Source organism: Homo sapiens, chromosome 11 (genome assembly GCF_000001405.40).
Source record: "Homo sapiens chromosome 11, GRCh38.p14 Primary Assembly".
In the NCBI taxonomy this organism is placed as follows: domain Eukaryota; kingdom Metazoa; phylum Chordata; class Mammalia; order Primates; family Hominidae; genus Homo; species Homo sapiens.
The window spans coordinates 100,651,276-100,675,319 of record NC_000011.10 but is presented as its reverse complement, the minus strand read 5'-3'; the positions used below and the strand labels follow the sequence as shown (position 1 = coordinate 100,675,319).

The following is a 24,044-nucleotide window of genomic DNA, read 5'->3' as shown; positions in this document are numbered from 1 at the left end:
TGATTAACGGATAGGGTCCAAACTCTTTCGTGTGCCAAACCAGTCTCTGTTATCTCTCCAACATTATTGATTGCCTTATCTTTTGCCTCTGAAATTATGCTTCAGTCCAGCTGAATTTCTTTAAATTCCCCTAATGGGTTAGCGAGAGGGGTCATCAGAAGTTTAAGAAGCATCTATGAGCAATTTTACGTTTTAATTTTGATTGAAAATTTTAAAATGATTTAAGCCTACTTTGAATCATCGACATCAGTGCTTTTCAAACTTCCGTGTGCATAGGAATCACCTGGAGATTTTGTTAAGGCACTGAGTCCGAGTCAGTAAGTCCTGTATGGCCCAAGATATTTCTAACAAGCTCCAGGTGATGCCAGTGCTGCTACTCCCTGGAACACTTTTTGAGTAATAAGGGTCTAGGATGATGACCACTTCGTATTTTATTTTTGAGATGGGGTATTCCTCTGTTGCCCAGGCTGGAACGCAGTGGTGCGATCTTGGCTCACTGCAACCTCTGCCTCCCGGGCTCAAGAGATCCTACCACCTCAGCCTCCTGAGTAGCTAGGAACATAGGCACATGCCACCATGACCAGCTAATTTATATATATATAATATATATTAATATTATATATAATATATATTAAATTACATATATTAAATTATATATAATATATATTAAATTATATATATTATATATATTAAATTAATATATATTATATATATATATATATATATATATATATTTTTTTTTTTTTTTGTAGAGACGGGGTTTCGCCATTTGCCCAGGCTGGTCTGGAACTCCTGAACTCAAGCGATCCACCTGCCTCAGCCTCTCAAAGTGCTGGGATTGCAGGCACAAGCCATTGCCCCCTGCAGCGATGACCACTTTCTTACTAATACCACAAACTTGCGTTATCATCATGGACTAATGAGTAAAGAGAGGAGACAATATTTCAAATGTTAGTTTATTTTACAAATGAAGACCAAGTGATGTCACGGCTTGCTGTACAAAGATTTGGCAATGGTTCTAGTTTAAAAAAAAAAAGCTGAAATAATTGAATCATCACTTAGGACAAAGTAGTATAGGCGTATCAATTTCAAAAGATTCATAGCAATCAAGACAATATTGTTTTAGCAAAAATTATCAGTCATACCATTAAACTAATATTATTTACATGATACTAGTTTTATATTTTTCTTTATAATTAATTTGTTTATCTGTTTGGTTTCATAATTATGTAACAGCTATAAGCATTAGGGTTTATACTTAGTGTTATGTTTCTACGCGTATAATCCAAATTGACTCCAGGATACATGAGAAATATATTCCTTTATAAGAGATCTAAATACTACACAAGTCTGAGAAATACTGGACTAAGCCTACTTATGTGTCTTTGCCTTTGCTCCTGTTGTGACTGCTGGAGTACCCTTCCCTAATCCCTTGTCAACCTCACCATTCTGCCATGTCTCAGCAGTACCTGGCAAACATGTACTGTTCCCTATGATGATGGCTCATTTTCTGAGACCCATAGTCAACTTCATACAACAACTGCTTCCTGTCCTAATTTCTTTCATCATGTCTGTAATGCTGTGCTGCACACTTAAACACACATGTTTACTTACTTTATTCATTATCTCTTCTGTCCAAGGACAAAGGCCCTGTCCTGCTTATTTGTAATTATTTGACACACCATAGCTGCTCAATAAATGTTTTCCGGAAAACTAAATGAAGGCAAAACTTGGTTTGCTCCTTTCTAACACAGACAAAAAAAGAGTGTGCTGACCTAGCACGTGTTCACATTTGTGAGTGGAAAAAAATTAAAACTATAAAATAATTGTAATATGCTTCTACATGTAATTTGATTCTAATAAGGTAATTCAAAATCCTATTTTCTCCTAGAGAATCTGCTGAAAAGTTCATATTTTCCCTAATTTTCCAGAGGTCTGATTGTTTAGGTTAAGCTTAGAGAGCTTTCAAATACTGCAACAAGAACATTATGATTACATTTTGGTTGATGCATCATGAGAACTAAAAATAGAATGGAAAGGCTGAAAACCTTTACTTGAACCTTCAGCCAAAGTATGGTTAAACATTATGGATGAGAAGGAATTGTGGCTTTTAACTTGCAATTACACAGGATAAATTCCACAGCGTGTAGATTGTCCTGGCTCAATTTCCCAGCATTTTGGCTCTGCCTTTCAATTATGGTTACACCTTCACTGGGGCTGGAAGAGAGAGTGAAACTCAGTTTACCTTGAAGGACAAGACAAACCTGAAATACAATATTTGGCTTTATTTGAGAAGACTGATTTTTTGGCCTATGTACAGAAAGTAGTCTACTTTCTAATGTGGAATACCCTCTCTTAATTAACCAGGATGATAGACAGTGTGGGGTTGGGATTGGGATAAAGAACTGGAGACCAGAAATGGGTTCCGTCCAATTCTGTCCCCGATGTGTAAATATGACTGTAGCACTGTGCGGATACTGTTTGAGAGAATGGCTTTGATGGAACAAAGCCAAGATGGCAAAGTACAGATAGATTTTTATGTTATGTTAATAGCTGCTTCCACTTCATTATGAGAACAAGATCCCCTTAGCCCTAGAAGCCACAGAAACTTGTACAGTTCAGTGGTTTTGAAGAATAATTAATTCATTTATGGCTTCAACCAAGCATTTCCCTGCTTAAAATAGAACAAATAATCTAGGAAGGGGATTTCTCTTCCAACTCCTCAGGGTTACTTATTTTACTCTCTAGGTATGTTAAACTCTCCTCCAAGTTCATCATGATTTTCTTACCTCTGGACCACTCTTTCTCATCCTCATCCAAGGAAAAATCATTTTTTCAATATCTTACACAGATTACTTCCATCAGGAAGCTTCCCAGCCATGCTCAGTGAGAGTTACCCACTATTTCCTTTGAGCTAGGCTTATTTCTCCTACAGGATTCATGGAGTACGTAATACACATTCTATTTGTTGACCTGATGTAAACAGGGTGGGAATGGATAAACATAGACATGTGGAATCTTCAACCTGTGATACAGTGGATGGAACACCTGATCAGGAGTCAAAATGTGTGGTTTCAAACCCTCCTTCTCCATATGGCCAAGTAGAGAAATTTCTGTCTTGCACATTTTGTAGATTGGGCTTTTATATTTTACTTTTCTACTTGAGATTCAGTATTAACCAGTTCGTATGCCCACTCTTTTGCTCAGTCTCTGTCACCCAATGTGTGCTCAAATAGTCATTATATTGAGCTAAATTAAATGTGGCATTCTTGTTTTGCACTAATATGGCCTTCTGTGTTTCACAAACAGGATCTTGGTGCAAGATTGCAGGATTTTTTTTCCATTTGGTAAAGAGGAAAACACACAGACTAAAAACAGATTTGCCCTATGTATTTTCTGATGTGTTAGAAAATTGTCTGCCCACGTCACAGAGTTAGATTAACATTATTGTGTATTTTACTGTCTAACATTGTGCTTATAAAGGAATTGAGCTAGTCCTCGAGATTTTATTTATCTTCGATGTCTTTGCTCTACCTGTACACTGTGTTAATTTCTAAATGGACTCCTATCCTGGGAATCCCATTTTTCAGACAGATATCTAAACCACAATCTGCATTCTGAATGTCTTAAATGCCTACGCACTAACCGCAGCTGTTTGTTTATTCCCTGTTTCAACAGGGACAAATATAGTCACTAATTTTTGCCTTTTAAGGTAACAACCCAATTTAGTACTGAAGGTGGGGGGTGGTAGAAGACAGAGGAGAAATCATCGTAGTCACAGAAGACACAAAACTACAAAATATCACAACAGTCTCTGTTCTTTGAACATTCACGTAGAAGACATAAACAAAGTGTGTACAATGTAATTTAAAAGAATAGGTGCAATTCTGTGGTATTTTGACAGTATATCTAAATGATTTGTGCTTTTAGGCAACTTTTTGAAACTTTATCATGTAGTGTGGCTCATCAGAGCTCAGTTTGTACTGTCTTATCCATATCTTGTTCTGTAGAAATTCAGGGTATGCTGGGCGTAGCTCACTCTTGTAATCCCAGCACTTTGGGAGGCTGAGGTGGGCAGATCACCTGAGGTCAGGAGTTCAAGACCAACCAGCCTGGCCAACATGGTGAAACCCCGTCTCTACTAAAAATATAAAAATTAGCCAGGTGTGGTTGCACATGCCTGTAATCCCAGCTACTTGGAAGGCTGAGGCAGGAGAATCACCTGAATCCAGGAGACAGAGGTTGCAATAAGCCGAGGTCACGCCACTGTACTCCAGCCTGGGCGACAGGTGAGACTCCATCTCAAAAAAAAAAAAAAAAGAGAGAGAGAGAGAAATTCAGGTATACTTCAGGAGGAAAGTGGCCCCTAAATTTTTGTTATGGATTGTATGGGACATAATTGGAGGTCATGTCATTAGTACACTATAGTCATATTTGTCAAGTGATTCCACACCATATAGTCCTGACTCTATTTCTCTGATACCAATTTTTATTCATAATAAATTTAGGGGTGTGGCATGGCATTCCCTGAGAGTGATAGTTACACCTTATGTTTGTACATATCTTTATACTTCACGTACTTTGTCTCGTTTAACCCTCTCTATTACTCAGAGTCCTTTCAGTTGCAAGAAGCACAAACCAACTTGAACTAGTGTAAGCATTGAAGGGGAGGGAATCCTTCGGGGGTGTGTGTGTGGGGGGGGTGTTAAAGGCTTAATTTAAAACTTCAGGGGCATCTCTAACTCTGTCCCAAACTCTCACCTCAGATTTTCTCTCTGATAATTGGCCTGAGAATAAAATCCAAAGCCATCTGGCTTTGGCTTCACATATTTCTCAGTGCTTGCTGTCCTAGAGGACAGATTCTGTGTGTTCATATAGCAAAACTCAAAGAGGGACTTCAATTGGCCCTTTGTGGGTCATGTGCCCATATCTGGGACCAATTATAATACAAAGAGAGGGTTGCAGTATTCTGATTGGCTATGTCGGTGTCACTTGCTAAACCCTGTGGGCAGGAGATTGGTGGGGCTCTCAGAAATAACCATTGTATCAGAACTACAGGAGGTAGGAAGGCGCTGCTCCCAGAGGGAAAAAGAATGCTGGGAATTTGACAGCAATAGATGGTGACTGTGTTTCAAAACACTAGGAGTGGTATTGCTTTTCCTATTTTAGAGACTTAGAGAGATTGATTTGCCAAAATTCACATTGCTAGCAAATAGCTAAACTAAATCTGCTAATGTAGTTTATTCCTTTTGCTGATCTTCAGATAGAACACGTTAACCACTTACAAAAATTCTTCCTTCTTGGCTGCGTGGGTGGCTCACGCCTGTAATCCCAGCACTTTGGGAGGCTGAGGTGGGTGGATCACCTGAGATCAGGAGTTTGATACGATCCTAGACAACATAGTGAAACCCCATCTCTACTAAAAATACAAAAATTAGCCGGGCATGTTGGCACGCGCCTGTAATCCCAGCTACTAGAGAGGCTGAGGCAGGATAGCTTGAACCCAGGAGAAGGAAGTTGCAGTGAGCCCAGATTGTACTGCTGCACTCCAGCCCAGGTGACAGAGCAAGACTCCGTCTAAAAAAATAAAAATAAAATATAATGAAGAATTCTTCCTTCTCTATGGAAGGGGCATGTAGATAGGCCCATAAAGTTACCATTTCAAAGTAATAGTAATTTGATGCACTTTACGACCTGGGAAGAAATCAGGAATATTTTGCAAGTGGTTACAAACAACAAGAAGTTATTTTAAATATAGTACAGCACTGCGAGAAAGAAGCATCAATATTACTATTGAGCTTGGCACAGTGCTCATGCCCCTATTTCCAGGTACTTGGGAGGCTGAGGCAGGAGGATCAATTGAGCCCAATAGTTCAAGAGTAGCCTGGGCAAAATAGTAAGACTCCGACTTATGAAAATAAAATACCAAACTGTGATGATCTAACTTTCCCTTAAGTATTCCTCCGAGATGCTGCAGTGGGGTGGCAGAGAAAATTTGGTTAAAATGACACAGGGGTAGAATTAGGTAAACTAAGAAGCTTTTTTGTTAAAAAGTGGTTTCAAAGCAGGCTGCTGTCAGAGGCAACTGGAGTCTAAGAGAACTAAGGCAGTAATAGAGGTCAGAGAGTGTCTGGGCAAAAAAGTACATGTGCATACCTAATTTGTATTGTCTGCTCCTAGGGACAAGAAGGAATCCGATGGATAGTTCTTCCCCAACTCCTGGAATCCCCAAAGCCTATTTATCAACAAATATTTAGCTATTCAAATTTAACGCACTGACTATTGCATAATTTTATCATTAACTTTTCTTCCTATATTTCCCAATAAACTTCAGATGCATCAAGGTATCATCTCAAGACATTTAGTAGAAAGTTAAAAATAAAAACAGAAGTCATTGACAGAAGTTTTGTGAAGAAAATGACAGACAAGAACACCAGTTTTAGATTAGACTGAAAAAAAATGCAATCTCTGGAGTGGGCTTACAATGCTGATTGTAAAGAAAAATGAGTTAGATTTTATGGAAAACTTTATTAAATAAACAAACCAAGAGAAAATGTAAGCACATAGTTTTAGGGAAATAAATTTATATATCATGTATCTTGAAGTCTGATTGGGCGGGGAGCGAGGAAAGACCATAACTTAGAACTACTCTGTAAGCAATAAAAGCATTTTAACCACATAATTAAGAAGCTTTTCAGAAAGATAGCCTAGTACTTAAAATAGTCTTGTGACTTTTTATTGTGAAGATGGGACAATATTTCTGGTGTTAAGGAAGATGGAGATGTGAGAATTAAAAATGCCATAGATGTTTAAAACAAATAAACACTATTTTCAAAATTGGTTGGAAAATATACACTGACCCTATGTTGTCTATAGAGATTTGACTATGGCTATAACTTCATGTTTGACAATAAATAGTAGATGTGTTGATTTAAATGCCTTCAAATGTTTTTCAACTTTCCATGAATATAACTTAATTTTATTATTATTATTTATTTATTTCTTTATTTATTTATTTTGAGATGGAGTCTCACTCTGTCGCCCAGGTTGGAGTGCAATGCTGCAATCTTGGCTCACTGCAACCTCTGCCTCCCGGGTTCAAACAATTCTCCCGCCTCAGCCTTCTGAGTAGCTGGGATTACAGGTGTGCACCATCACGCCTGGCTAATTTTTGTATTTTTAGTAGAGACAGTTTCACCGTGTTGGCCAGGCTGGTTTCAAGCTCCTGACCTCAAGTGATCCACCTGCCTTGGCCTCCCAAGGTGCTGGAATTACACGTGTGAGCCACCGTGCCTGGCCAAATATAACTTTACTTTAAATAAGGAGTGGACATTTTATACTAATCTTGATTAATTTATCCTTTGTTCATCAGTCTTTCTAAAGTATTTCTGAAATATCTTACTGTTTAGTAGCTTATGGTACTCTAAACAAAATCTTCTTGTAGAAGTCAGATCAATTTTTGTTTTCAAGGTCAGAAGGGAGAAAAACGAACAGTGGCAGAGTTAAAAAAAAAAAGTTTATCAACTCACGCTTGCATTCTGCTATGGCTAAAGAGTTATTTGCTGTCTAAAGCCATGCTATTTAGTCAGGCACCCAGGTCCTGTGTGACAAATACAAAAGAACCGTGCTCCTGGAAAAGGCCAAAGGGAAAAGCATTGCCAGAAAGATCCTAACAAATACGCTCACCTGTTGCTCAATGCCTCACCTCTATTTATAAATTTTCGACACACTGATTTTCATAGTTATGCAAGGAAGATCCCTGACCTCTACTCATTTATACTCACTTGTCCAAATGACTAGAAAAAACACTCTACAGCCTTCTTGGTGTTTCACTCGTCTGAAAATAAAGGAACTTCTCTATTTTCCCAGGGGTACAGGAAGAAGAACTTACTGAAGAAGAAAGTTGAAGAACTGGTAAGTTGTGTGGCAGCCATACCATCCCTATTCACTCTATAAACTAACTTAAAGCTACACTAAGAAGATTACATTTAATTTTATAAAATTGAAACATCTTTCAAGCTTATAGCTTGTAATTGAACATATTGATGTTGGCACTGATTTCCAGCATAGACGGAAACTTAGGTGAAAACTCGCGGTGACTCTGACTCCTTGATCAATAGAAGCAGTTATTTTATTTTATTTTTTTAATTTTTATTTAGTTTTGATTTCATAATCATAAACTTAACTCTCCAATCCAGCTAGGCATGGAAGGGAACAAGGAAAACATGGAACCCAAAGGGAACTGCAGCGAGAGCACAAAGATGATAGGATACTGTGAGCAAACGGGGTGGAGGAGTGCTCTCCTGAGATACAGAAGAAATGGTCTGGTGGTTAAGATAAAACACAAGTCAAACTTATTAGAGTTGTCCACAGTCAGCAATGCTGATGATCTTCTTGCTGGTCTTGCCATTCCTGGACCCAAAGTGCTCCATGGCCTCCACAATATTCACGCCTTCTTTCACCTTGCCAAAGACCACATGCTTGCCATCCAACCACTCAGTCTTGGCAGTGCAGATGAAAAACTGGGAACCATTTGTGTTGGGTCCAGCATTTGCCATGGGCAAGACGCCAGGACCTGTATGCTTTAGGATGAAGTTCTCATCTTCAAATTTCTCCCCGTAGATGGACTTGCCACCAGTGCCATTATGGCGTGTGAAGTCACTACCCTGACACATAAACCCTGGAATATTTCTGTGAAAGCAGGAAGCCTTATAACCAAATCTTTTCTCTCCAGTGCTCGGAGCATGAAAGTTTTCTTCTGTCTTTGGAAACTTGTCTGCAAACAGCTTGAAGGAGATGCACCCCAAGGGCTAGCCGTCAAAGGCGATGTCGAAGAACACAGTGGGGTTGACCATGACTGATAGTACAGGGCTCCCAGCAGCGGCATCTGCAAAGCCAAAGCAGTTATTTTAAAAACAAAGACCTGCTAGTTTTTGCAAAGCAAGTTTATGCTGATTGCTATCAACTAGAGCTTACAACTTGTTTCTTTATTGTTTTGTTTGGTAAGTGGGTCTTGCCTCAATTATGATTCTGTATCTTTGTGCCAGGTTGGGATCAAGGAAAACCATGCTTTGTTTCTAGCTGTGTGTGCTCTTTATCTCTTTGTACTTCTGTTTCCTCATCCATAAAAACATTTCAACTTTTCATGGCGGTTAACCAATTTCAAACATCTCTCAGGGCTCAGACTAAAGGAATGATACACACTTTAAATTATTTGTATGGGCTTTGCCATTCGGCACTCTTTAATTTTAGCAATTTTCATGAGCACTTAAATGTAATAATGCATTTCATGTAATAATAACACTTAATTATTATTATCTATTGTTTATCCAATGATCTCATGGTAGCTTATAAACACTAATTAATTGAAGATTTACAAAACGCTGTGAGGTTCAAGTACAATGGCCATGTTACATTTACCCACTTATTTCTCTAAATGCTGCTTTGAAGTCTTTAAATATTTAATTAGTGATTATAACTCAAGCTGCTATTTGGGAAACCTAAAGTAGACACATTTTGAATCTTTTTGTGTGTGTGTGGTTTTCAAATAAAGTTAGTAATGATTTCTGGATACAAAAAAACCCAGAAATTTTACTAAGTAATTTTGACTTAGGGTTGAAACTACATTCTTAGAAATATTGAGATGAGAGAGAAAGCTATGCTGACAGTCTGCTGAAAACGATAATAGTGAAATAGCTCATTATTCCACTACAGCATTCTCCACAGCGGTCGGGGATGCACTGACTTCATAAAGATTTTATTATGAGCCTATTACCTATTTTTCACACTTTTCTCTGATTATCTTTTTTGACTTTTACCTCAAATTTTAAGAATAGACTGTTTTATAATGGGAAAAATCTATGGGCTGGTAATCCTGAGGTCTAGGCTCTTCTACATCTGTGATTTAAACCATTTATTTCACTTTGTTAATATGAAGTTTTTTTCTATAAAATTGAGGCAAAATAATACATACTCTACTATCTCAACATTGTAGCCATTATAAAGTGAGATAATATGTATAGTTCTTTCTCTGGGTCCCTACTTGGTTCATATTCAATCAACAAATATTTATTTAATGCTTATTATGTGCCAGTCTCTGTTCAAAGGGCTTGAAATATAGCAGTAAATACATAAATAAATGAAAGAAGGAATGAATGAATAACTTGTTCTCATGAAGCTTATAATCCAGTGGGTAGAGGGAGATAAATAAGTAAAAATACATAATGTATTAGATGGTGCTGTGGTTTGAATGTTTGTCCCTTCCAAAACTCATGTTGAAATTTAACTGCCATTGTAACAGTATTAAGAGGTGACCCCTTTAAGAGGTTGATTAGGCCATGAGGACTCTGCCCTCATGGGTGGGATTTATGACTTTATAAAAGGGTAAATTGGGCCCCCTTTTGTCTCTTCATTCTGCCTTCTGCCATGTGAAGACAAAGTGTTCCTCCCCTCCAGAGGAGGCATCATTTAAGGCACCATCTTGGAATCAGAATTGCCAAACCTGCTGGCACCTTGATATTAGAGTTCCCAGCCTCCAGAACTGTGAGCCAATAAATTTATGTTCATTATACATTACCCAGTCTGTGGCATTTTGTTATAATAGCACAAATGAACTAAGAAATAAGGTGATAAATATTATGGAAAATTCTGATTCAATAGAGGTTCTACCACTTATGAGCTATGTAGCCTTAAAAATACCTATACCTCAGTTTTCTAAGCTGTGATATGGGAAAAATTATACTACTAACATGTCAGAGTTTGTATCTATCTAATCACAAATAGTCCAGTTTGCTATTCTAGTAAGATTTAGTGAATTGCAATCAATGTATAGTCACTATGATAACAAGAAAGTAAAGGGAATTGCTATGACGTGCTGGTCTTCTCAGAAATAAGATTTCAACCCAGGCAGCCCGATTTATGGTTTCTGCACTTAACTACTGGCCTACATTACTTCCCACCAATAATTACAGTTAGAGCTTCACATGCATAATCTCATTTAATCTACATAAGAACCTTATAAAATAAGAAACATTAATGTCCCCACTTCACAGGCTCCTCCTTTGAGCTGCCGAGGCACCGTCACCATCCTTCTTCAGAGATCGTCCCAGCTCTGGAGGGCCTCTCCAAGTTTCAGGTGCTACTCTAACCTTTTATCTTTGTGGTTCTTTTATCACTGAGGTGGTAGGGCTTCACGCAGGTGCAAGCTATGTGTTATTTTAGTATCCTCTTCCCATTTTTCAAGATATTCTGTTCAATGGGCTTAGACAAAGCTATGTGTTACTTCAGTGTCCTCATTTTTCAATTTGCCAATACTATTTGATCAGTTCCTTTTAATAAAATTTGTCTGTTGAAATACCTACTGTGGTTTTTGTTTTCCTGCTTCAACCCAAAATGATTCTCTACTTAGTACTAAAAGTGATCCCTTGCTAAAAATACACCACAATGATGAACTATTGGGATTGGTTTAGTCATGTCCTTGGCCTTGAATGAAGCACTAAATGTATGCTGATTAGAAGGGGAGTACTAGTAATCCACAGCATGCAGTGCCAAGATGCATCACAATTGAGTTAAGCCCTGTAGTTGATTGTGATCAAGTGCTAACTCAAGCAAACAGCTCACACTTTCTAATGTAATAGTACTCTGTATAGATGGCTAATGATTTATTTAATCGGTCCTCTATGGATGGAGTAATTCTCAATTTTTCATTATGATAATGCCATTGTAAACATATATAATATATATATAACTAACTATTGCTTTAGGATAGTATTTAAAAAGTAATGTTTAATAATGTTGTGAGAAGTTATTTCCGGCAACTGAATTGTGGGTGATCTTTAGTTTCTTCTTTATAATATTCTGCATTTCTAATTTCTTTTCCAATAAGAATTTTTTACTTTTATGATAAGAAAAAATGAAGTTATCTCCTCTCCTCCAATTAATGACTATTCATTTTACCACTATGTCAACATAAGTGTACTTTGCTGTGATTTAATGAGATTTACAGCAACTGTGAACTCTGCAATAATGAGGATAAGTCACTAAGTCAGTTTAACTGATTGCTATAGCTCATGTTTGATCAATTCTTTTTCCTCAGGGTGAAAATAATTTTCAGTTAATCTGAAAATAATTCATGAAATCATAGAATCTCTAGGTTGAAAGACACTACAAATATCCTAAAGAAGACCATGAAAAATTGTCTCACTAAGTAAACTTTTAAGAGATAGACATAGACATTTAGAGATGGCTGGAAGAAACTTCAGGAGCCAGGTAGCTTATGACCTCTTCATCTGAGAACCAGAGAGGCTGACTGATCTTTAGTAACCAGGATAGTGGCTGAGACAAGACTAGAACTGAGGTACCAAATCCTGACTCCTGGCTCAATGTTCTTTCCATTTAACTATAAGCTCTACTCCCTCGTCCATATTGTTTAGTTTTCTACCATACTTTGGAAGTTACACATAGCACTGTTATTATAGTAGACCCTCTTATCCATGGTTTCACTTTCCACAGTTTCAGTTACTCATGGTCAACTATGGTCTGAAAACATTAAGATATTTTGAGAGAGAGAAAGACAGAGAGACCGCATTCACAACGTTAATTACAGTATATTGTTCTAATTGTTCTATTTTATTATTAGTTATTTTCGTTAATCTCATACTGTGCCTAACTTAGAAATTAAACTTTATCGAATGTAAGTATAGGTAAAAGCTTAGTGTAGATAAAATTTGGTTCTATCTGTGGTTTCAGGCATCCACTGGGGATCTTGGAACATAATGCCCGTGGATAAGGAGGGACTACGGTATCTTTGTTTTTAATTTTTCATTGCAATTATAATATAAAAATATATACAATGCCTATAATTTAATAAGTGAATATTTTACCTGTTAAATACTGGGAGATCCTCATGTCTCTCTAGTCTTCTCACTACAATTTTTCCTAGACAAATTCATACAAAACAAAAGCTTGAATTATCAACTATAAAGCCGGCACTACTCAAAATTTTATCTGCAGCCCATAATTCTCTGATTCCCCAGATAGGTGTTTGAAAAATCAAGAATAAAGGTATGAATTAGAGAGAGCAGGGCAAAGGTTTTATGTAATAGAACTGGACAAAGATTAGAGACCAAAAATACCACTTGAAGTTCAAGCCCCTGTAGAAGTAGAAGAGGATGCCTAGGTTGAGAGTAGAGCAGAGGTAGGGAACAGAGTGTGATTTCAGATGTGGTCAGGGCAATAGATCTAATTTAATATACATAATGATTGGGTGTGTGGTGGAGTATCAGATGAAGCGTTCTAGATAAGGACATTGCCTAACACATTGGTGAACAGCAACAGTAAGCCACTGGGAAGCCAAATCAAAGCACAGAAGCCAGTCAAATCCTGTGGACCAGCATCTACATTTAAGTAAGTCCTATGTATTTGTCAGGAGAAATCACATTGGCTGTTTCTTCTTCCCACTTTATAGAAGTCCAGGGTCCTCAAACACATGAAACCAGTAGTGAATATTGAAATGGAAAGCCCCAGCACCAGAACTTGAGGGGCAGGGATAGAGTGGGAAACCCTTCTCAGAATATTCCTCACTTCAGTAATTAAAATCTGGTTGGACAAGCCAAAAAATTAATAATCACCTTTTTAATTTTTAACTTTTGAAATAATTTCAGGCTAACAGAAAATTTGTAAGAATACTACAGGCCGGGTGCGGTGGCTCATGCCTGTAATCCCAGCACTTTAGGAGGCCGAGGTGGGCAGATCACCTTAGGTCAGGAGTTTGAGACCAGCCTGACCATCATGGTGAAATCCTATCTCTACTTAAAATACAAAATCAGTCGGGCATGGTGGCGCATGCCTGTAATCCCAACTGCTTGGGAGGCTGAGGCAGGATAATCACTTAAAGCCAGGAGGTGGAGGTTGCAGTGAACCGAGATGGCGCCATTGCACTCCAGCCTAGGCAACAAGAGTGAAACTCTTGTCTCAAAAAAAAAAAAAAAAGGCCAGGCGCAGTGGCACACGCCTGTCATCCCAGCACTTTGGGAGGCCAAAGCAGGTGGATCACTGGTCAGGAGTTCAAGACCAGCTTGGCCAATATGGAGAAACCCTGTCTCTACTGAAAATGCAAAAATTAGCCGGGTGTGGTGGCTGGCACCTGTAGTCCCTGCTACTCAGGAGGCTGAGGCAGGAGAATTGCTTGAACCTGGGAGGTGGAGGTTGCAGTGAGCCGAGATCACACCACTACACTCCAGCCTGGGCAACAGAGCGAGACTCCGTCTCAAAAAAAAAAAAAAAGAAAGAAAAAAAAAAGGCCAGGGGCAGTGGCTCATGCCTATAATCCCACCACTTTGGGAGGCCAGGGTGGGCAGATCACCTGAGGTCAAGAGTTCGAGACCAGCTTGACCAACACAGAGAAACCTCATCTCTACTAAAAAAAAAAAAGTACAAAACTAGCTGGGCATGGTGGCACATGCCTGTAATTCCAGCTACTTGGGAGGCTGAGGCAGGAGAATCACTTGAACCCGGGAGTTGGAGGTTGTGGTGAGCAGAGACAGTGCCATTGCACTCCAGCCTGGGCTACAAGAGTGATACTCGGTCTCAAAGAAAAAAAAAAAAAGAAAGAAAGAAAAGAAAAAAATACTACAAAAAACTTTCTGGATACCCATTACTCATATTCCCCAAATGTTAACAATTTATTTGCTCTATCTCTTTCCCTGTACACACACACACACACACACACACACACGAGTTTTGTGTGTGCGTGTATAATCTTTAAGGGTAAGTTGTAAATTGGATGCCTGTTTACTCCTAAATACTTTAGTCATTTTTTCCTAAAATTACAGAAATTCTTTCACATAAAAGTAGTATATTATCAAAATCAGGAAATCACCATTGATACAATATGCTTATCTAATCTACATGCCTTATTCAAATTTCCTCTAAGGCCTTAACAAAGTCCTTTGTAAAAAGAAAATCCAATATCATGCATTGTATTCAGTCGTCATTTCTCTTTAGTCTCCTTTATTCTGGAATACTTCTTGAGTCTTTCTTAGGATTTCATGACACTGAATTATTTATTTATGTATTTATTTACTTCTCATCACACTGAACTTTATTTATTTAAATTTTTAATTTTTAAAATTTCAATAGGTTCTTGGGGAATAAGTGGTGTTTTGTTGTATAGATAAGTACTTTTGGTGTAATTTCTGAGATTTTGGTGCACCCATCACCTGAGCAGTGTACACTGTACCCAGTGTGTAGTCTTTTATCCTTCACACCCCTCCCAACCTTCCCCTCAAGGCCCCAAAGTGCATTGTATCATTCTTATGCCTTTGCATCCTCATAGCTTAGGTCCCACTTATAAGTGAGAACATATGATGTTTGGTTTTCCATTCCTGAATTACTTCACTTAGAATAATGGTCTCCAACTCCATCCAGGTTGCTGTGAATGCCATTATTTTGTTCCTTTTTATGGCTGAGTAGTATTTCATGGTATATATACATACCACATTTTCTTTATCCGCTTGTTGATTGATGGGCATTTGGGCTGATTCCATATTTTTGCAATTGTGAATTGTGCTGCTATAAACATGCATGTGCAAGTGTCCTTTTCATATAATAATTTCTTGTCCTCTGGGTAGATATTCTGTTGTGGGATTGCTGGATTAAATGATAGTTCTACTTTTTGTTCTTTAAGGACTCTCTACACTGTTTTCCATAGTGGGTATACTAGTTTACATTCTCACTAGCAGTATAATAGTGTCCCCTTTTCACCATATCCATACCAACATCTACTGGTTTTTGATTTTTAAATTACAGTCATTCTTACAGGAGTAAAGTGTTATTATTGTATTGAGGTTTTGATTTGCATTTCCCTGATAATTAGTGATGTTGAGCATTTTTTCATATGTGTGTTGGCCATTTGTATATCTTCTTTTGAGAATTTGCTATTCATGTCATTTGCCCACTTTTTGATGGGATTATTTGTTTTTTTCTTGCTGGTTTGTTTGAGTTCCTTGCAGATTCTGGATATTACTCCTTTGTTGGATGTATGGTTTGCAAAGATTTTCTCCCTCTCTGTGGTTGTCTGTTTACTCTGCTGATTATTTCTTTCACTCTGCAGAAGCTTTTTAGTTTAATTAAGTCTCATCTATTCATCTTTGTTCTTGTTGCATTTTCTTTTGGGCTCTTGGTCATGAACTCTTTGCCTAAGCCAATTTCTAGGAGGGTTTTTCTGATGTTACCTTCTAGAATTTTTATAGTTTCAGGTCTTAGATTAAGTCTTTGATCCATCTTGAGTTGATTTTTGTATAAGGTGAGAGATGAGGATCCAGTTTCATTCTTCTACATGTGGCTTGCCATTTATCCCAGCACCATTTGTTGAACAGCATGTCCTTTCTTCACTATAGGTTTTTGTTTAATTTTTTGAAGATCACTTGACTGTAAGTATTTGGCTTTATTTCTGGGTTCTCTATTCTGTTCCATTAGTCTGTCTATTTATATACCGGTACCATGCAGTTTTGGTGACTATAGCCTTATATTAATAGTCTAGTTTGAAGTTGGGTAGTGTGATGCCTCCAGGTTTGTACTTTTTGCTTAATCTCGTTATGGTTTTTTTGGTTCCATGTAAATTTTACTATTTTTTTTTCTAGTTCTGTGAAGAATGATGGTGGTATTTTGATAGGAATTGCAATGAATTTGTAGATTGCTTTTGGCAGTATGATCATTTTCACAATATTGATTCTACCTATCCATGAGCATGGGATATGCTTTCTTTTTATTTATTTATTTATTTATTTATTTATTTATTATTATTATTATACTTTAAGTTTTAGGGTACATGTGCACAATGTGCAGGTTAGTTACATATGTATACATGTGCCATGCTGGTGCACTGCACCCACTAACTCGTCATCTAGCATTAGGTATATCTCCCAATGCTATCCCTCCCCCCTCCCCCCACCCCACAACAGTCCCCAGAGTGTGACGTTCCCCTTCCTGTGTCCATGTGTTCTCATTGTTCAATTCCCACCTATGAGTGAGAATATGTGGTGTTTGGTTTTTTGTTCTTGCGATAGTTTACTGAGAATGATGATTTCCAGTTTCATCCATGTCCCTACAAAGGACGTGAACTCATCATTTTTTATGGCTGCATAGTACTCCATGGTGTATATGTGCCACATTTTCTTAATCCAGTCTATCATTGTTGGACATTTGGGTTGGTTCCAAGTCTTTGCTATTGTGAATAATGCTGCAATAAACATACGTGTGCATGTGTCTTTATAGCAGCATGATTTATAGTCCTTTGGGTATATAGCCAGTAATGGGATGGCTGGGTCAAATGGTATTTCTAGTTCTAGATCCCTGAGGAATCGCCACACTGACTTCCACAATGGTTGAACTAGTTTACAGTCCCACCAACAGTGTAAAAGTGTTCCTATTTCTCCACATGCTCTCCAGCACCTCTTGTTTCCTGACTTTTTAATGATTGCCATTCTAACTGGTGTGAGATGGTATCTCGTTGTGGTTTTGATTTGCATTTCTCTGATGGCCAGTGATGGTGAGCATTTTTTCATGTGTTTTTTGGCTGCATAAATGTCTTCTTTTGAGAAGTGTCTGTTCATGTCCTTCGCCCACTTTTTGATGGGGTTGTTTGTTTTTTTCTTGTGAATTTGTTTGAGTTCATTGTAGATTCTGGATATTAGCCCTTTGTCAGATGAGTAGGTTGCAAAAATTTTCTCCCATTTTGTAGGTTGCCTGTTCACTCTGATGGTAGTTTCTTTTGCTGTGCAGAATCTCTTTAGTTTAATTAGATCCCATTTGTCAATTTTGGCTTTTGTTGCCATTGCTTCTGGTGTTTGGGCAAAGACATGAAGTCCTTGCCCATGCCTGTTTCCTGAATGGTAATGCCTAGGTATTCTTCTAGGGTTTTTATGGTTTTAGGTCTAAAGTTTAAGTCTTTAATCCATCTTGAATTGATTTTTGTATAAGGTGTAAGGAAGGGATCCAGTTTCAGCTTTCTACATATGGCTAGCCAGTTTTCCCAGCACCATTTATTAAATAGGGAATCCTTTCCCCATTGCTTGTTTTTGTCAGGTTTGTCAAAGATCAGATAGTTGTAGATATGCGGCATTATTTCTGAGGGCTCTGTTCTGTTCCATTGATCTATATCTCTGTTTTGGTACCAGTACCATGCTGTTTTGGTTACTGTAGCCTTGTAGTATAGTTTGAAGTCAGGTAGTGTGATGCCTCCAGCTTTGTTCTTTTGGCTTAGGATTGACTTGGCGATGTGGGCTCTTTTTTGGTTCCATATGAACTTTAAAGTACTATTTTCCAATTCTGTGAAGGAAGTGATTGGTAGCTTGATGGGCATGGCATTGAATCTGTAAATTACCTTGGGCAGTATGGCCATTTTCATGATATTGATTCTTCCTACCCATGAGCATGGAATGTTCTTCCATTTGTTTGTATCCTCTTTTATTTCCTTGAGCAGTGGTTTGCAGTTCTCCTTGAAGAGATCCTTCACATCCCTTGTAAGTTGGATTCCTAGGTATTTTATTCTCTTTGAAGCAATTGTGAATGGGAGTTTACTCATGATTTGGCTCTCTGTTTGTCTGTTTTTGGTGTATAAGAATGCTTGTGATTTTTGTACATTGATTTTGTATCCTGAGACTTTGCTGAAGTTGCTTATCAGCTTAAGGAGATTTTGGGCTGAGACAATGGGATTTTCTAGATATACGATCATGTCATCTGCAAACAGGGACAATTTGACTTCCTCTTTTCCTAATTGAATACCCTTTATTTCTTTCTCCTGCCTAATTTCCCTGGCCAGAACTTCCAACACTATGTTGAATAGGAGTGGTGAGAGAGGGCATCCCTGTCTTGTGCCAGTTTTCAAAGGGAATGCTTCCAGTTTTTGCCCATTCAGTATGATATTGGCTGTGGGTTTGTCATAGATAGCTTTTATTATTTTGAAATACGTTCCATCAATACCTAATTTATTGAGAGTTTTTAGCATGAAGCATTGTTGAATTTTGTCAAAGGACTTTTCTGCATCTATTGAGATAATCCTGTGGTTTTTGTCTTTGGTTCTGTTTATATGCTGGATTACATTTATTGTTTTGCGTATATTGAACCAGCCTTGCATCCCAGGGATGAAGCCCACTTGATCATGGTGGATAAGCTTTTTGATGTGCTGCTGGATTTGGTTTGTCAGTATTTTATTGAGGATTTTTGCAACAATGTTCATCAAGGATATTGGTCTAAAATTCTCTTTTTTGTTGTGTCTCTGCCCGGCTTTGGTATCAGGATGATGCTGGCCTCATAAAATGAGTTAGGGAGGATTCCCTCTTTTTCTATTGATTGGAATAGTTTCAGAAGGAATGGTACCAGTTCCTCCTTGTACCTCTGGTAGAATTTGGCTGTGAATCCATCTGGTCCTGGACTCTTTTTGGTCGGTAAGCTATTGATTATTGCCACAATTTCAGAGTCTGTTATTGGTCTATTCAGAGATTCAACTTCTTCCTGGTTTAGTCTTGGGAGGGTGTATGTGTCGAGGAATTTATCCATTTCTTCTAGATTTTCTAGTTTATTTGCATAGAGGTTTTTGTAGTATTCTCTGATGGTAGTTTGTATTTCTATGGGATTGGTGGTGATATCCCCTTTGTCATTTTTTATTGCGTCTATTTGATTCTTCTCTCTTTTTTTCTTTATTAGTCTTGCCAGCAGTCTATCAATTTTGTTGATCCTTCCAAAAACCAGCTCCTGGATTCATTAATTTTTTGAAGGGTTTTTTGTGTCTCTATTTCCTTCAGTTCTGCTCTGATTTTAGTTATTTCTTGCCTTCTGCTAGCTTTTGAATGTGTTTGCTCTTGCTTCTCTAGTTCTTTTAATTGTGATGTTAGGGTGTCAATTTTGGATCTTTCCTGCTTTCTCTTGTGGGCATTTAGTGCTATAAATTTCCCTCTACACACTGCTTTGAATGTGTCCCAGAGATTCTGGTATGTTGTGTCTTTGTTCTCGTTGGTTTCAAAGAACATCTTTATTTCTGCCTTCATATCGTTATGTACCCAGTAGTCATTCAGGATCAGGTTGTTCAGTTTCCATGTAGTTGAGCGGTTTTGAGTGAGATTCTTAATCTTGAGTTCTAGTTTGATTGCACTGTGGTCTGAGAGACAGTTTGTTGTAATTTCTGTTCTTTTACATTTGCTGAGGAGAGCTTTACTTCCAACTATGTGGTCAATTTTGGAATAGGTGTGGTGTGGTGCTGAAAAAAATGTATATTCTGTTGATTTGGGGTGGAGAGTTCTGTAGATGTCTATTAGGTCCACTTGGTGCAGAGCTGAGTTCAATTCCTGGGTATCTTTGTTGACTTTCTGTCTCGTTGATCTGTCTAATGTTGACAGTGGGTGTTAAAGTCTCCCATTATTAATGTGTGGGAGTCTAAGTCTCTTTGTAGGTCACTCAGGACTTGCTTTATGAATCTGGGTGCTCCTGTATTGGGTGCATATATATTTAGGATAGTTAGCTCTTCTTGTTGAATTGATCCCTTTACCATTATGTAATGGCCTTCTTTGTCTCTTTTGATCTTTGTTGGTTTAAAGTCTGTTTTATCAGAGACTAGGATTGCAACCCCTGCCTTTTTTTGTTTTCCATTTGCTTGGTAGATCTTCTTCCATCCTTTTATTTTGAGCCTATGTGTGTCTCTGCCCGTGAGATGGGTTTCCTGAATACAGCACACTGATGGGTCTTGACTCTTTATCCAATTTGCCAGTCTGTGTCTTTTAATTGGAGCATTTAGTCCATTTACATTTAAAGTTAATATTGTTATGTGTGAATTTGATCCTGTCATTATGATGTTAGCTGGTTATTTTGCTCTTTAGTTGATGCAGTTTCTTCCTAGTCTCGATGGTCTTTACATTTTGGCATGATTTTGCAGCGGCTGGTACCGGTTGTTCCTTTCCATGTTTAGCACTTCCTTCAGGAACTCTTTTAGAGCAGGCCTGGTGGTAACAAAATCTCTCAGCATTTGCTTGTCTGTAAAGTATTTTATTTCTCCTTCACTTATGAAGCTTAGTTTGGCTGGATATGAAATTCTGGGTTGAAAATTCTTTTCTTTAAGAATGTTGAATATTGGCCCCCACTCTCTTCTGGCTTGTAGGGTTTCTGCCGAGAGATCTGCTGTTAATCTGATGGGCTTCCCTTTGAGGGTAATCCGACCTTTCTCTCTGGCTGCCCTTAACATTTTTTCCTTCCTTTCAACTTTGGTGAATCTGACAATTATGTGTCTTGGAGTTGCTCTTCTCAAGGAGTATCTTTATGGCGTTCTCTGTATTTCCTGAATCTGAATGTTGGCCTGCCCTGCTAGATTGGGGAAGTTCTCCTGGATAATATCCTGCAGAGTGTTTTCGAACTTGGTTCCGTTCTCCCCGTCACTTTCAGGTACACAAATCAGACGTAGATTTGGTCTTTTCACATAGTCCCATATTTCTTGGAGGCTTTGCTCCTTTCTTTTTATTCTTTTTTCTCTAAACTTCCCTTCTCGCTTCATTTCATTCATTTCATCTTCCATCGCTGATACCCTTTCTTCCAGTTGATCGCATCGGCTCCTGAGGCTTCTGCATTCTTCACGTAGTTCTCGAGCCTTGGTTTTCAGCTCCATCAGCTCCTTTAAGCACTTCTCTGTATTGGTTATTCTAGTTATACATTCCTCTAAATTTTTTTCAAAGTTTTCAACTTCTTTGCCTTTGGTTTGAATGTCCTCCCATAGCTCGGAGTAATTTGATCGTCTGAAGCCTTCTTCTCTCAGCTCGTCAAAGTCATTCTCGGTCCAGCTTTGTTCCGCTGCTGGTGAGGAACTGTATTCCTTTGGAGGAGGAGAGGTGCTCTGCTTTTTAGAGTTTCCAGTTTTTCTGTTCTGTTTTTTCCCCATCTTTGTGGTTTTATCTACTTTTGGTCTTTGATGATGGTGATGTACAGATGGGTTTTTGGTGTGGATGTCCTTTCTGTTTGTTAGTTTTCCTTCTAACAGACAGGACCCTCACCTGCGGTTCTGTTGGAGTACCCGGCCGTGTGAGGTGTCAGTCTGCCCCTGCTGGGGGGTGCCTCCCAGTTAGGCTGCTCGGGGGTCAGGGGTCAGGGACCCACTTGAGGAGGCAGTCTGCCCGTTCTCAGATCTCCAGCTGCGTGCTGGGAGAACCACTGCTCTCTTCAAAGCTCAGATGGAAATGCAGAAATCACCCGTCTTCTGCGTCGCTCACGCTGGGAGGTGTAGACCGGAGCTGTTCCTATTCGGCCATCTTGGATCCTCTGTTATGCTTTCATTTGTTTGTGTCTTCTATGATTTATTTCAGCAGTGTTTTGTAGTTTTCCTTGCAGAGGTCTTTAACATCCTTGGTTAGGTATATTTCTAAGTTTTTGTTTGTTTGTTTGTTTTTTGGTGGCTATTGTAAAATGGGTTGCATTCTTAATTTGGTTCTCAGCTTGGTTGCTGTTGGTGTATGGCAGTGCTACTGATTTGTGTACATTTATTTTGTATCCTGAAATTTACTGAATTTATTTATCAAATCTAGGAGTCTTTGAGATGCATCTTTTGTGTTTTCCAGGTATGTGATCATCTCATCAGTGAATAGCGACAGTTTGACTTCCTCTTTACCTATTTGGATGCACTTGATTTCTCTCTCTTGTCTGACTGTTCTGGCTAGGACTTTAGTACTATTTTTAATAGAAGTGGTGAAAAGTGGGCATCCTTGTTTTGTTCCCGTTATCAGGGGGAATGCCTTCAACTTTTTCCTGTCCTGCATAATGTTGGTGGTGGGTATGTCCTAGATGGCTTTTATGACCACAAGGTGTGTCCCTTCAATGCCAATTGTTTTGAGGGTTTTAGTCATACAGGCATGCTGGATTTTGTCAAATGATTTTTCTGCATCTGTTGATATGATTATGTGAACTGTGTTTTTAGTTCTGTTTATGCAGTATATCACATGTATTGACTTGCATATGTTAAACCATCCCTGCATCCCTAATATAAAACCCACTTGATTATAGTGGATTATCTTTTTGATATGCTGTTGGATTCTGTTAGCTAGTATTTTGTTAAGAATTTTTGCATCTACTTTCATCAGGGATATCGGTCTGTAGTTTTATTTTTTGGTTATGTCCTTTCCTTGTTCTGGTATTAGGGTGATACTGGCTTCACAGAATAATTTAGGGAGGATTCCGTCTTTCTCTATCTTTTAGAATAGTGTCAAGAAGATTGGTATGAATTCTTCTTCGAATGTCTGATAGAATTCAGCTGTGAATCTAGCTGGTCCTAGACTTTTTTTGTTGTTGTTAGCAATCTTTTTATTGCCATTTCAATCTCACTGCTTCTTATTGGTCTATTCAGTGATTCTATTTCTTCCTGTTTTAATCTATGAGAGTTGTATATTTCCAGGAATTTATCCATCTCCTCTAGGTTTTCTAGTTTGTGTGTGTAAAGGTTTTCACAGTAGCCTTGAGTGTTCTTTTGTATTTCTGTGGAATTGGTTGTAATATCTCCCATTTCATTTCTAATTGAGATTATTTGGATCTTCTCTCTTCTTTTCTTGATTTATCTTGCTAATGGTCTATGAATTTTGCTTAGCTTTTTAAGGAACCAACTTTTTGTTTCATTTATCTTTTGTATTTTTTTTTGCTATTGTTGTTGTTTCAATTTCATTCAGTTCTGCTCTGATTTTTGTTATTTCTTTTCTTCTGCTGAATTTGGGTTTGGTTCTTTCCTGTTTCTCTGATTCCTTGAGATGTGACCTTAGATTGTCTGTTTGTGCTCTTTCAGACTTTTTGATATAGGCATTTAATGCTATGAACTTTCCTCTTAGTACTGCTTTCACTGCATTCCAGAAGTTTTGATAGGTTGTGTCACTATTATTGTTCAGCTCAAAGAATTTTTAAATTTCCATCTTGATTTCACTGTTGACTCCACAATCATTCAGGAGCAGATTATTTAATTTCCATGTATTTGCATCGTTTTGAGGCTTCCTTTTTGAGCTGATTTCCAATTTTCTTCCACTGTGATC

General features: G+C 38.1%; 1 pseudogene, besides 3 other annotated features; it reads right to left on the bottom strand.

Moving 5' to 3' along the window:
• Positions 4,609 to 5,108: an enhancer, noted in NCBI's record as "H3K27ac hESC enhancer chr11:100540943-100541442 (GRCh37/hg19 assembly coordinates)". NCBI's record gives its function as "activates a minimal SCP1, AML or CMV promoter by ChIP-STARR-seq in naive H9 embryonic stem cells {active_cell/tissue: H9 hESC(naive)}" and the evidence as "EXISTENCE:reporter gene assay evidence [ECO:0000049][PMID:30033119]".
• Positions 5,109 to 5,610: an enhancer, noted in NCBI's record as "H3K27ac hESC enhancer chr11:100540441-100540942 (GRCh37/hg19 assembly coordinates)". NCBI's record gives its function as "activates a minimal SCP1, AML or CMV promoter by ChIP-STARR-seq in naive H9 embryonic stem cells {active_cell/tissue: H9 hESC(naive)}" and the evidence as "EXISTENCE:reporter gene assay evidence [ECO:0000049][PMID:30033119]".
• PPIAP43 (peptidylprolyl isomerase A pseudogene 43) lies at positions 8,161 to 8,894 on the bottom strand (annotated as a pseudogene).
• Positions 11,038 to 11,967: an enhancer, noted in NCBI's record as "OCT4-NANOG hESC enhancer chr11:100534084-100535013 (GRCh37/hg19 assembly coordinates)". NCBI's record gives its function as "activates a minimal SCP1, AML or CMV promoter by ChIP-STARR-seq in naive and primed H9 embryonic stem cells {active_cell/tissue: H9 hESC(naive and primed)}" and the evidence as "EXISTENCE:reporter gene assay evidence [ECO:0000049][PMID:30033119]".